This window comes from Homo sapiens, chromosome 5, assembly GCF_000001405.40.
Source record: "Homo sapiens chromosome 5, GRCh38.p14 Primary Assembly".
Lineage (NCBI taxonomy): Eukaryota > Metazoa > Chordata > Mammalia > Primates > Hominidae > Homo > Homo sapiens.
Window position 1 is genome coordinate 117403556 of NC_000005.10, and position 13644 is coordinate 117417199.

The 13644-nt window shown below is 35.2% G+C and overlaps 1 long non-coding RNA gene across 1 annotated transcript in view, besides 2 other annotated features; it reads left to right on the forward strand.

Moving 5' to 3' along the window:
• Positions 585-785: a silencer, noted in NCBI's record as "peak5430 fragment used in MPRA reporter construct". NCBI's record gives its function as "represses an SCP1 promoter by STARR-seq MPRAs in K562 erythroleukemia cells {active_cell/tissue: K562}" and the evidence as "EXISTENCE:reporter gene assay evidence [ECO:0000049][PMID:32103011]".
• Positions 810-1310: an enhancer, noted in NCBI's record as "H3K4me1 hESC enhancer chr5:116740061-116740561 (GRCh37/hg19 assembly coordinates)". NCBI's record gives its function as "activates a minimal SCP1, AML or CMV promoter by ChIP-STARR-seq in primed H9 embryonic stem cells {active_cell/tissue: H9 hESC(primed)}" and the evidence as "EXISTENCE:reporter gene assay evidence [ECO:0000049][PMID:30033119]".
• Positions 11957-13644, forward strand: part of LINC00992 (long intergenic non-protein coding RNA 992) — a 164233-nt gene continuing 162545 nt past the window's right edge. The window contains exon 1 of the long non-coding RNA NR_046089.1: positions 11957-12184. This is a non-coding gene — a long non-coding RNA (long intergenic non-protein coding RNA 992). The remainder of the gene's footprint in view (positions 12185-13644) is intronic.

Consider the following 13644-nt stretch of genomic DNA (forward strand, 5'->3'; position numbering starts at 1 on the left):
TAGATGTAAGATGAATTTTTTGTTTTAATTTTAGTAATTTTATTAGACATCGTCATTATTGGTTATTCTGGGTCTATTTGTCTATATTTGTGTTGTACTCTTTTATTTGTACTTTTAAGTCTTTTTATTTTTTTTTAATTTTAGGAATGTTCTTGCATTATAACTTTTATTATTTTTTGTTCTCTGATTTACCTTTTTATTTCAGGGAATCATAACATGTATCTTGAATCATTTTTATCTGTCTCCTACATCTGTTACCATTTCTCATATTTTTATATAGCATTTTTTTATTTTTTGTTTATTTCAAAATATTTCCTTCTCTTTACCTTTGTCCTTCTCAGTCATAATCTGTTATGCTTACATGTTCTTGTGTTTTTCCTAGTTTAGTCTTCAGTTCTAAATAACTTTTCTAAATCTTTCCCAGTTCTATAATCTCAGTTCTAAATTTTTTCCACTCTGCCTTATGTTGTCACTCAAATAATTTAAAAAAAATTATTTCAGTTCATTTTGAAAGATTAGATTACAGTGCTTTCTGATTTATCCATGTGTCTATCAGCCTATTCTACATCAATCATAATGACCTAAAATGGATCATGTTTACTGAGAGACTGTGATAAAGCAGTTACTCGGCATATATCATTAAATGTTGAATGGAACATTCCTATCTACTTTAGTCCACACACTCCCTTCCTTCTTTTTTTTTTTAGTTTTTTTTGAGACGGAGTCTCGCTCTGTCACCTAGGCTGGAGTGCAGTGGCGCAATCTAGGCTCACTGCAAGCTCCGCCTCCCGGGTTCACGCCATTCTCCTGCGTCAGCCTCCCGAGTAGCTGGGACTACAGGCGCCCGCCATCGCGCCCGGCTAATTTTTTGTATTTTTAGTAGAGATGGGGTTTCACCGTGGTCTCCGTCTCCTGACCTCATGATCTGCCCGCCTTGGCCTCCCAAAGTGCTGGGATTACAGGTGTGAGCCACCCCACCCGGACCCTTCCTTCTAATAACGCTATGGGTTTTATTTATAAGGTCTTCATTCACTTTATAAGATTCGAGAGAACTTTGTTCCAATCTTGGCTCTGCTGCTACTTTTAATAGGTAATTTCAAACAAATGACTTAATTTTTCTGAATCTCAATCTTCCTCAATAAAATATGGTTAATGTCTATTTATAAAATTATAGAAATTAAATAAATGTAAATGCTTAACACAGTGCCTCACTCTATGAATGGTTGTTACTTTTGTTATTACTTGATTAATCTTGGTATAAATTATTAAATCTGCTCAGTAAAAGTGCTCAATCATCTCTTTTCAGTAATGTGAAAATGACATTTTCTTCTAGCTCAGTAATACCATATTTTTCATTGATAATTTAAATTCTTATTCATGATATACTTTCATGAATATGAAAGTTGGGCTTTTCTAGCCCAACCTTATTTTCCCTATCTTACTGGTTACTTTAATTTTAATTGTATCATTATTCTGACTTTTTTTCCAATGAGACAAAATTCCTCACGTGCCATGAAGTTGCTCAGTTCTGAATTACTGCCAAAAATTGAAGATATGCTTTACAACACTTGCAGATAACACCTATGCCATATATGTGGACAAAATGAAGAGAAGGAGGCTGTGGGTGAAGGCTGAAATCCCTGTATGATAACTCTGCACCTACCATGATTCTTTTCTCCACTCATAACTTGTATTTCCTCCTTGCTTTTATTTACTTTTTATTTTATAGCATGTTCTGATTTCAAACACATTTTTTCTCTTTTATTGTTTTATTGGCCCTAAGTTGGAGACACAAGGCATTTAAACAAATGGGTGGAAGGGGAGAGAAGGGACTATTATCTAACTGTTCCCTATAGTCCTGTCTACATTCACACTTGCAGACTGTGTATGAACCAACTGAACTATGTAACCAGGTTCATTTACAGTGTTTTGAGACAGGTTGATTTGAGTTCCGGGTGCAGATAATGCGGTGGATTTTTGTTTCATTTCAGTTTTGTTTTTTAAACATATTCATTTAGATGATGATTCATATATCCAAGGCTGTTGCAGATCTGTTTCCACACATTGTGGGTATAAGGTAATGATTACTTGTCCTGATTGTGTACCAGGATATTTTGAGAAATATGAGCCCCACTCCCAAGTCAGTTTTATTCGGGAGGTTAAAAAACAAAGGCATAGTCATTAATATCCAGATTTATTATTCGCTATGAAATGTACTAGTTGAATAGGCTTGGACAAGTTACTCAATTTCCATGAGAATTATTTGATTTTTAAAATGAAATGATGGTAATAAAATATCTGTAACAGTTTTAGAAAGCCACTTATCATGGTACTTGGAGAGAGCATGTTTTAATAGCAAATATTAATATTCCTAAAAATACATTCAAATTGTGGAAGTTGACTGAGCAAAGGTGTTGATTTATGAGATGCAGAAATTCAAAGTCAACTTTAGAATAAGTACCTTTTCTGCTCCAGCTCGTTTGTTTCATTTCCTAAATTTATCTGAGACACAAAAATAATTGACTGTACTCAGTGGCATTTGAAGATAGTTTTCCATCTTTATCCCTCCATAACTATTCAATAGTAGATCAAAGAAAGAAAGAAAAATCACAGATCTGAAACTGATCCTAGCACATTCTCCAGAGAGGAAATGCTACCAGTACTTGCTGCGACTGGGTCGCTGTCCCTGCACTTTGGCTCTCACAGTAACGGCTGATGCTCAGCTGGAAGAGAGTGGCCTCCTGGGCACCCTACTTTTAGGGTAGAAATGCTTATAGTTCATCTATGCAGCTTTCTGGAGTTCATGGACTTCACAGTTATCATCCACATGTCTTTGTTAACTATTCTCACTGGGAAAGTATATATTTGGTGTTTAAACCATTTTTTTTTTTATCTACTCCCTAATCAATTACGTCAGCAAAAGAGGAAAAATCTATTTTAGAGGATATAAAGGGATATAAAACAAAGACAGATTTCAAAATTTCTATCATTTTTAAAATGTGTAGAGAAAGCAAATTTGAATAATTCATTATAAGCCAATTTGAGAAAAATATTCCATCAAATACATCTTTTTAACTGTATTAACAATTTAGTATTGCCAGAAAGTAATTCCTTCAGCAGATGTGTTGCTCACCAAAATCATCCTAACCTCATACACATAAATAAAACCCTTATTTCATACTTTTTGCCTAGTTTCTGGTCCAGTTCTAATATTTACCTTACTTTATTTAAAACATTCTATACAACATGTTCTATATTTTTCTTTTATTAATTATGTCTAAGATAATGCCAACTATACTCATTTCATTTCATTTCTTATTCATTATGAATCTTTCTAACATCCACTTACAAATGTTTCTATTGCCTTTCTCCTCTTTCTTCTGTGTCCGGAATTTATTCCTTCTGGTAGGTTCTTGTTCTCGCTGACTTCAAGAATGAAGCCATGGACCCTTGCAGTGAGTGTTACAGTTCTTAAAGATGGTGTGTCCGGAGTTTTTTCCTTCAGATGTTCAGATGTGTCCGGAGTTTCTTCCTTCTAGTGGGTTCGTGGTTTTGCTGACTTCAGGAGTGAAGCCACAGACCATCGCAGTGAGTGTTACAGCTCTTAAACGTGGTGCGTCTGGAGTTGTTCGTTCCTCCCAGTGGGTTCGTGGTCTTGCTGACCTCAGGAGTGAAGCCACAGACCTTTGCAGTGAGTGTTACAGCTCATAAAGGTAGTCCGTGGACCCAAAGAGTGAGTAGTGCAAGATTTATTGTGAAGAGCTAAAGAACAAAAATTCCACAGCGTGGAAAGGGACCCAAGTGGGTTGCTGCTGCTGGCTGGGGTGGCCAGCTTTTAGTCCCTTATTTGGCCCTGCCCACATCCTGCTGATTGGTCCATTAAACAGAATACTGATTGGTCCATTTTACAGAGTGCTGATTGGTGTGTTTACAAACCTTTAGGTAGACACAGAGCACTGATTGGTGTGTTTTTACAGAGTGCTGATTGGTGCATTTACAATCCTTTAGCTAGACAGAAAAGTTCTCCAAGTCCCCACCAGACCCAGAAGTCCAGCCAGCTTCATCTCTCACTTCTTTTTAAATTTTACATATATCTTGGAACATAACATTTTTTGGCTTGCCATTCTATTCCCCCCTCCACCTTTAACATACTACCTTTTTCATTTAAACAAACTTGAGCTTTTATTCTGCTTTCTTTGCTTTCAAGAGACACATTTTTGAGAGTTTTTGTTTTTGCTTAACTTCAATTTAATTTAATTATTTAATTATTTTATTTTTTTGAGATGGAGTCTCCCTCAGTCATCCAGGCTGGAGTGTAGTGGCACAATCTTTGCTCACTGCAACCTCCACCTCCTGGTTCAGGTGATTTTCCTGCCTCAGCCTTCCAAGTACACACAGGCATGCAGGCATGCGCCATCACATCCGGCTAATTTTTGTATTTTTAGTAGAGATGGGGTTTCGCCATGTTGGCCAAGCTGTTCTCAAACTCCTGACCTCAAGTGATCCACCAGCCTTGGCCTCCCAAAGTGCTGGGATTACAGGCGTGAGCCACTGAACCCAGCCAACTTTTATTTTAAGTTCAGGAGAAATGTGCAGGTTTGTTATATAGGTAAAATTGTGTTATGGGAATTTGTTGTACAGATTATTTCATCACCCAGGTACTAAGCTTAGTACCCACTAGTTATTATTCCTGATGCTCTCCCTCCTTCCACTCTCCACCCTGATAGGTCCCAGTGTGTGTTGTTCCCTTCTATGTGTCCATGTGTTCTCATCATTTAACTCCCACTTGTAAGTGAGATTTACATGTGGTATTCGTTTTTTCGTTGCTGTCTTAGTTTGCTGTGGATGATGGCCTCCACCTCCATCCATGTTCCTGGGTAGGACATGATCACATTCTTTTTTTTTTTTCTGCATAGTATTCCATGGTGTTTATGTACTACATTTCCTTTATTCAGGCTACCACTGATGGACATTTAGGTTGATTCCATGTCTTAGCTTTCTGAATAGTGCTGCAATGAGCACACACATGCATGTGTCTTTATAAGAGAACGATTTATATTCCTTTGGATATATACCCAGTAATGGGATTGTTGGGTCAACAATATTATAGATCATATTGTATTTCTTTCTTTAGGTCTTTAAGGAATTGCCGCATTGTCTTCCACAATTCTTGAACTAATTTACACCCCCACCAAGAGTGTATAAGCATTCCTTTTTTTCAGCAACCTTGCCAGCATCTGTTGTTTTCTGACTTTTTAATAATAGCCATTCTGACTGGTGAGAAATAGTATCTGCTTTTGATTTGGATTTTCATTCTCTAATGATAAGTGATTTTGAGCTTTTTCTCATATGCTTGTTGGCCATATGCATGTTTTCTTTTAAGAAGTATCTGTTCATGTCCTTTGCTCACTTTATATGAGGTTGTTTAAGAGTTTATTTCCCTTTTGAGTCCATCATATTTTTTCTGTCTTCATTTCTGCTTGATCACATTGTGCTTATCCGCTTACATATTTTATTCTCATGCAGTCTTCTATGTACTCTCTCTACATATATATACATATGTATATATACATATATACATATATATATATTTGGCTTATAACTTCCTAATTTGAATTCCACGACTTTATATATCTCTACAGATTTGCTTTTTTTTTTTTTTCTTTCTTTTTTTTTTCTGAGATAGATCCTTGCTCTGTCACCCAGCCTGGAGTGCAGTGGCGTGATCTCGGCTCACTCCAACCTCTGCCTCCTGAGTTCAAGCAATTCTCTTGCCTCAGCCTTCTGAGTAGCTGGGATTACAGGTACCTGCCCACCACGCCTGGCTAATTTTTGTATTTTTAGTAGAGACAGGTTTTCACCATGTTGGCCACACTGGTCTCAAACTCGTGGCCTCCTAATCTGCTGGCCTCAGCCTCCCAAAGTGCTGGGACTACAGGCATGAGCCACCGTTCCCAGCCTCTTTTATTGTTTTGTTGTTGTTGTTGGTTTTGTTTGTTTTGTGTGTGTGTGTGTGTGTGTGTGTGTAATTTATGAATCTGAGGCAGAGAAGAATGATGATAGGGGAATAGGGGGGCTTAGACTCTGCTTAACTGAGTTCTAACTAGCCTGGAACTATTGAGAAGACAAGTGGTAGTTTCAGAGAAGTAGGTCCGAAAATGGGCTGCATCACTCACTAGGTGTTTGACCACTGACAATGTAAACTTGCTTATTCTCAGCTTTCTCCTCTATCAAATGGAGAAAAAATACTTGGCTTGTACAATTGTTGCTAAATTCTATATGTATACTGGCATATATTGGCCACCCAATAAATTGTAAACACTACTGTTTTTGATTTTTAATAACTGTTAAAATCTATACACTATACAAATTCAGCATTGAGATGTTAACAAGATGAGTTAATTGCTACTTAGATTCAGGTCTCAGATTTTCTTTGTATCCCTAAAAGTTATGAGTGACTCAAAGAGCTATTTTTATATGGGTTATATCTATTAAAAGTAGAAGTTAAGGCAAATAAATTGTCAACATATATATTTATGCATTTATTAAAATAATAATAAATTCATTACCTGTTACACCTTTGCAAATATCACCTGTTTACTAGAAGACAGCCAGTACTCATATCGGCGTCTGTACTCCATCTGTGTAGTATCATATATCACATAGCCTTTGGAGAACTTGATGGTTCACCATGAGAGTATAAAGTAAAAAAGATAGTAAGTTCCATTACTATTAAGAGAATAGATTTGACTTTGTGGGTTCCATGAATAGATCTCAGAATCCCATGGGATCCTCAATCACACTATGAGGATCACTAATTTATAGCAATCATGATCCCTAATTTTTAGTCTTATATTAATGTCCACTTGACTTAAAACCTTGTGGACTTTGGTTAGTTATTTTTGTTGTTTTTTTGCTTATGTATTGGAATTTTAATATAAAAAAGGGGAAGTTTGGACTACATTTTCTCCAAGGTTCCTTTCAGCTCTTAAATTCAATTGTATAAAAATGTTTTATTCATTTTTCAACTTATTATTGTCTTATTTTGGTACAATATTCAACATTTCACTAATTTTTTAAACATTTCATTTTTTTTCAAATTGGGGCAACAAGCTCTCTTTACTTGCCAGCATAGTAAGTGTTGAGTGATATTGCTATATCTGAGTTATGGGGGTATTCAACAGCTCATAGCATTTCCCCCCAAATTGGGTAAACATAATGAATTCAAGAAAGTCTAAGACAGGCTGGATGTGTTCAGCAGTGAGATTTCTTGCTTCACATTAAGGAATTCATGAAACTGCTTCAGTTCTCTAGAAGTTACTTAGTCTCTCTGATAATCAAAATCAGATATGTATGCATTGTGCATTACTTACACATTGGAATTTTATATACCCTGTCCCATTTAGAATGTGAGCTTCATGAAAGCAGAATTTTTTTCCTGTTTTGTTCCTTCCTCAACATCCAGACAAATACTGGCACATTGTAGATGCTCACTAAATGTTTGTTGAGTAGAAAAGGGCATTCAGATATACACTCAAGAATCATAGTATTGTAATTTAATGTTGGCAATGAAATATCAGTAGAAAATTTTCACCGAAATAAGCCAGACTGCTATTACCTTTCTCTCTCTCCTGCCCACATCAGTAACATATCCTGAAAACCAGAACTTATCATTTATTTTTAAAAATAAAAATAATGTGTTGAAATTTTATTTGATTTCTACTAATATGGTGAAAATACTAACTTGCAAATAAAAGCTTCCTAGAACTTTCTCCACAGACAAAATAGTGTAGCTTTAAATTTATGAGGATTGTGGCTTCTGAAAAACAACAACAAAAAATATAAATCATTTCAAATGACCGGGCTTCAAATATCATTTCATTTATGAAAGGATACTCTATTTGAGAGCAGGAATTTTTCATAAAGCTACTCTCTTCACTCTTTCACCTCCTAAATTATTTCTAGGCTGTTACTTGAAATTGGAGTATGGAGTTGAGTTCCAACAAAAATCCTTGGTACTCACTGGCTCTTCTTGTGCTAATCCTTTGTGATTGTGTTGCATTCTGTGCCCAGCTTGGCCTTTGCTCAAGATGTTCAGTTGTTCTGAATGAATCCCTCCATCTTTTTGCATTTCAGCTCAGTGAAATCCCTGGAAACACCTTGAAAACAGGATCTGTATCTTTTCTCTGTATCTCACTAGGGTCTCATCAGGGCCTTCTTGTCTAACAAGGAAGTGCAGGAGAAGAACACATTTCATGAATTAATTCAGTGAATAAATGAAATAATGAAATCAGAAGCAAACACAATGCCCTTCTTGCTCACCTTCCTGTTTTTGGATAATATTATGCTTAATCATCTCTAAAGAATGGAGTGGATCCTCTTAATAAAGTCTGTTAGTCCTTACATTCCTTTGTTAGCAGCAGGCCATAAGCCTCAGTGTTTATAGGAAGGGTGATATCCTTAATGCCTAGCAATCACTTTAGGTTTATTTCTTCCTTTTGGCTTGTGTTCCACAGACAAATTACAGTGTTCAGGCAATTATTGAGATAACTCAGGTAATAAACCTGCTTTTACTAAAAGATCCCTTCCAGTGCAAATGAAAAACAGTTGTTCACAATTAGGTAACATTTTTATGGGCATGGTTGAAATCACCACTTAATTGTTTAGAGGGAGGCAATATGTAAGCCTCAAATACTTAGTATTTTTGCTCTAGTAGATATATCTATTTTTCACCTCTTTTATCATTTTGGTCTTTGGTTTCCTCTGGTTTTCTTGTGGATATTTCTTGTACAATATTTACAAGTTATTTTTTGAATCAGTGTTTTCAGTTCTACCATCTCCATCACTGCTAATATATGCAAGAGATATATTTGTAGAGAACTTTAGCATTAATGGCTGGATTTTAAGGAATCTTTAAAATGCAAGGAAACACAAAAAGGTCCCCCGATAGTACAATACTCCCTGAAGACTTGATGACCTATTAAAATTATATCCAGTTCTGCAATATAATTTTGTAAATATTTTCAGATTACATAACTAGTAATATTTTCATAAGAAAACAATGTCAATAATAATCTGTTCTGATACCACACACAGCACCTGAGAGGCTCATTCAATGGCTAGTTGTGGTGTCAGCAGCTGTGAGAGCTATCAAGTTTTAAGGAGGTGGATAGAATATGCCATGTAGCAGAGTTTCTTATGGAAGCCTCCTGAGTGCTATTTATATGGTGCAATAGGTTTAAACAGTACTGATGCACACCCAGGAAAGATTAGTTTTGGCTTGAAATTGTCATTCTTTAAGAAATCAGAAACTAGGGCAGAATACTAAATTGCTGCAAATGAAAACAGAAATAATGAGTCTAAGGAAAAGTTTGCCTAAAGGCACAAATCACTCTGCCTTTATCCCCTGATTAGACAGATAATAACAGTGAATTATAACAAGGCTGCTGCAGAATCAGAGTCAGTAAACAGAGTCTATACAGAGTCGTAATATTTGTAAACCCAACTAGAGATAATGGATGTCAAATATATTATTTTTCCCTCCTCTACATTTTAACATTTTATCAGAGTAAGAGATGAAATCTTTTTGGTAATCTACAAAATAAAATAACAATTACAATTTTCTGTAAAAAGCAAATAGCAAAGAATTGATGGATTAGTAGTTACCAGCACTCAGCCGAGAACGTTTTCTTCATGTTTTCCTCTGCCCGCTGTTACTACATTTCAGCCAAATTCCTTTGTCAGCTAAATTGCAATTTAAAAAAAAAGAAACAAAAGAAGAGAGCAAAAACAAACATACTATACGTATATTCCATATATACCAGTTAGTGATCAATCACTGTTAATGGACAGCATGTTTATGTCTCAACTGTTAATTCATTGCTCCTCGGCACCATTTAGTTCTGCAAAATATGCAGTGTTTTAGAATACTCCCTGGATGAAATTTTACCTTTTCTGTTAGGGTTATCAGTCAAAACTTAAGAGCTATATATATGACACATCTTGGGGACATGCAACACAAAAAGAAAATATATCCATGTTCATTTTATAAAAGTTTCTGATAACCTCAGTGATAGTTTGCAGGGCCTGAAAATCAGATGGGTGCTTTTTATAAAGCTAAATGTGATCATGGAGTTCACAAAGTTGAGCACCTATTATTTTACACTTTGAATTCTAATTTGTTCTTTTCATTAAAAAGAATGCGAACGTGTAAGTCACTTTAACAGGTTGATATACGGGCTCATGACAGTTTCTTACGGGACTTGCCACCTAGAGATACTCTAATGGGATGTCATCTACACTTGCCAAATCATATTATATGACTTAGCCATAGCTGTGAAAAAAGCGATCTGAGTGCCTCTTTTACCCTATTGAAGAATTTAAATAAAGTTCCTGTAGCCTTGGCCAATCAGGCATATTACCCTCCAATAATAGAATTGCAGTCACTCGATGTTCCATTTAAAGACAGCATTAAAAATTTTCTTGTCAGGAGACTCCCATGGCTGGAAAGAAGGGTCTTTGATGTTGAATGGAAAGGAAATATTTTTCTGAGACAGTTTGGAAATCAAGTTCCAGATGACGGCATCCATAGTATCACATAAAGATTTTGCCAGAAGCAAGATATATTTGACTTAGTTGCTCCTTGTTAGCCTGAGAAGGGGATGAGAAATTTCATGACAGCAGAACTACTTTTGAAATTTTGTGCACCATTTCTTCTTTCAGATGTGTTGGATTTCTAAGAAAATCATATTTCTTTGAGGAAATACAGTTATTTTGCTTGTAGCTACTCACTAAAAAGGGCAATTGAAATTAACAACAACAACAACAACCAACCAAGAGTGAATGTAAAGCAAAGTAGTTAGCATAGTTAGCACTAGAGAGCTCCAATAGACCTTCAAAATTTGTCACATTTCTTTCTACCACTACGAAGTGAGAATATGCTATCAGAGACTGGTGAGAATTAAGGACATTTCAACGGACCTTATTTCCAAAGAAGTAAGACTTTCTCTGTTCTAAAGGAGATAGTTAAAGATCAGAAGTGAAGAAAGATGTGTCACTTTTGGATAATCTCTGCTTTTCATAAAGTTTCACTAAGGAATGGGGTGTCCCAATGAACATTTACTATTTGAAGAGCTAAGAAAATAGAAGTATTATTAAAATAATAATTTTATTGAAAATGTGGGAAAATACTGACTTCCTTATACAATATTGCAAATCCAAAACTGATTTGGGAAACAATAGGATTAGCCATCCAAATAATTTAACACTTTAGCTTTTGCTTAGTAAATCATGTTTTAATATAACAATTCTTTTGGGTAATGTGGAAGTCATTAATATGGCTCATCAGATGTTCTCATCTTTTTGCCTATTAGGCACTCCCTGGCCCTCTTATGAGAGGGATAGACATGTGACTGAATGTGGCTGGCCAATGAGTTCTGAACAGGAATGATGTGTGTGACTTCTGAGCCATAATATTTGACAGCTGAGACAGAATATTCTTTTGATTACTGATCTAGAGTTATCTGTGTCTCTGACAATATACCCAGTCATGGCTGCTATATCTGCTTGGCTCCAGGATATGAACAATGCTTTGTTGTGAACAATGCATACCAGAATTCTTAGCCATCCAAGATAGACACAAAGCAGAGATTTAAAATAAGCCATACCATTTCAAATCATGGAGATTCTGACGTGGTTTGAACAACCACAATCTAGCCAATCATGACTTGATAAAAGAAAGTTTTTGAATTTCTAAAAATATTTTTCTTTACAAATTAAAGGGCTATGGTCTAAAATTGGTAAACTATTTGAGAATTTTAGAGTTGTTAGGAACTTCTGTATTAAGCAGCCCATTCAGTAGCCTGGCATTTAAGCTAAGTTCTACGGAATCCTGTATGCTGATGCAATTGTTTTTGAGAGAGTTAGGTCCAGAATGTTGCTTAGTTTCTATTCTGAAAGCATCTCTGCCAACTCTAGAGAGTTTAGATATCTACTTATTTATATCTACATCTATCTATATTTATATTAAACAAAAGTGACAGGACATGGTAATAGATGCAATGTATAGGTGAATTAGAGAGAGGTATCAAGCTTGACTCCCAGGTTTCTGATAGAATGGCTGAATTGATGGCAATACCTTTCACTGAGAGGAAACATTGGCAGAAAACCAGTTTTGAATGAAGAGGTAAGTGTATTTTTGGACACGTTGACTTTGAGTCACCTTTGAGACATCAAGTAGATGTCAAGATGCTAATTAGATAGAGAAGTCTGAAACTCAAAGTAGAAATCTGGACTTGGATATACACTTGTAAATTTTTTGTATATGGTGTAATATAGTGTTTATAAATGAGATGGTGGAAGAAGAAAGAATGACAACAGAAGAAGAGGCTTTAGAGTTAAAACTTAAAATGTTTTTCTATGTAAACAAAGTGCTTGCAATTTAAAAGGAGTGATAGAGAAGGGATGTAGAAGCAAAATCAGGGAGTATTGCCTAATAAAAGCCAAGAAAAGAGAGTATTATAAAAATTGGTCAATAATGTTAGATGGCGCTGCAAATTCAGGTAAAATAAGGACTGTTATATTTAGTACAAATGAGATTACTGTTGACTTTAGTAAGAGCTGTTTCAGTGGAGCATGGAACTAGGACAACATTTTAAAAATAACATATAATGGTATTTTAAATAGGTTTGTTTATCCCTCTTCATTTCTAGTTAGAGTATGGGTTTGTTGCCTTTTTTGATTCCTAAAAGAAATGATGCAGAAAATACATTTTATAAAATACAGACAGTGCTTCAAATCCTCAAATCATTGTAATAGCAATAAAGCATATAGTAGATGAAATGCTTTCATGTACATTAATTCATAAAATCCCCTAGAGGTGAGAATCTTTCATTCATGATCATTGTTCTAAAATTCATAAATAAACACCTATTCCACTGTCTTAAAATTATCATTTATGAAGTAGCACGGTCTCAATATTTTGCTCATAAGTCATAATAATTATGAAAATGGCAACTTATTTATTTACATGCTAATTTTTATTCAGAAAATATGATGTGAATGTTTAAATGCACAATTTTAGCTAATCAAAAAAACATTATCAAATTACAATCCAAACAGATTGTCTGACTATTAAAATTCAGCAAGTCAAATGTTCTAGGGGTCTAGCAGGAGGATTAAGGCGAGGTCGCTTAATGGCAGGCATACCACTTACAGCTCCATTTACGAAGAGAACAGGCAGGCAATCTGGCTGAGCTTCACCTGAATTCTCTAGAATTTCTCTAGAAACTCATGAAAGACAGTTGTGCATTTCTGGTTCTCCAAATAAGCTATCTACAATTAAATCCAGCACATGTGCTATTTCTTCAAACATCTGTGAAAATAGGTTCTGAAATATAGAGTTAAATGAGTAACACGCTTTGAAACTACTTTCTCTCATTTCGAATTCACATAAATGCCATGCATGAAGTCATTTTATAAAATGCTTTTAATCAGTGTCTATGATACTGCATTTATGGCACAGCATGAATGAATAAAAAGGAAAAAAATGTAACAAATCTGTTCATTGATTAGTACATAATTTAGTGTGGTTTAAGTTCCACTTTCCTAACTTAGATGCTTAAGCCAAAAAGTAGTACCTATTAG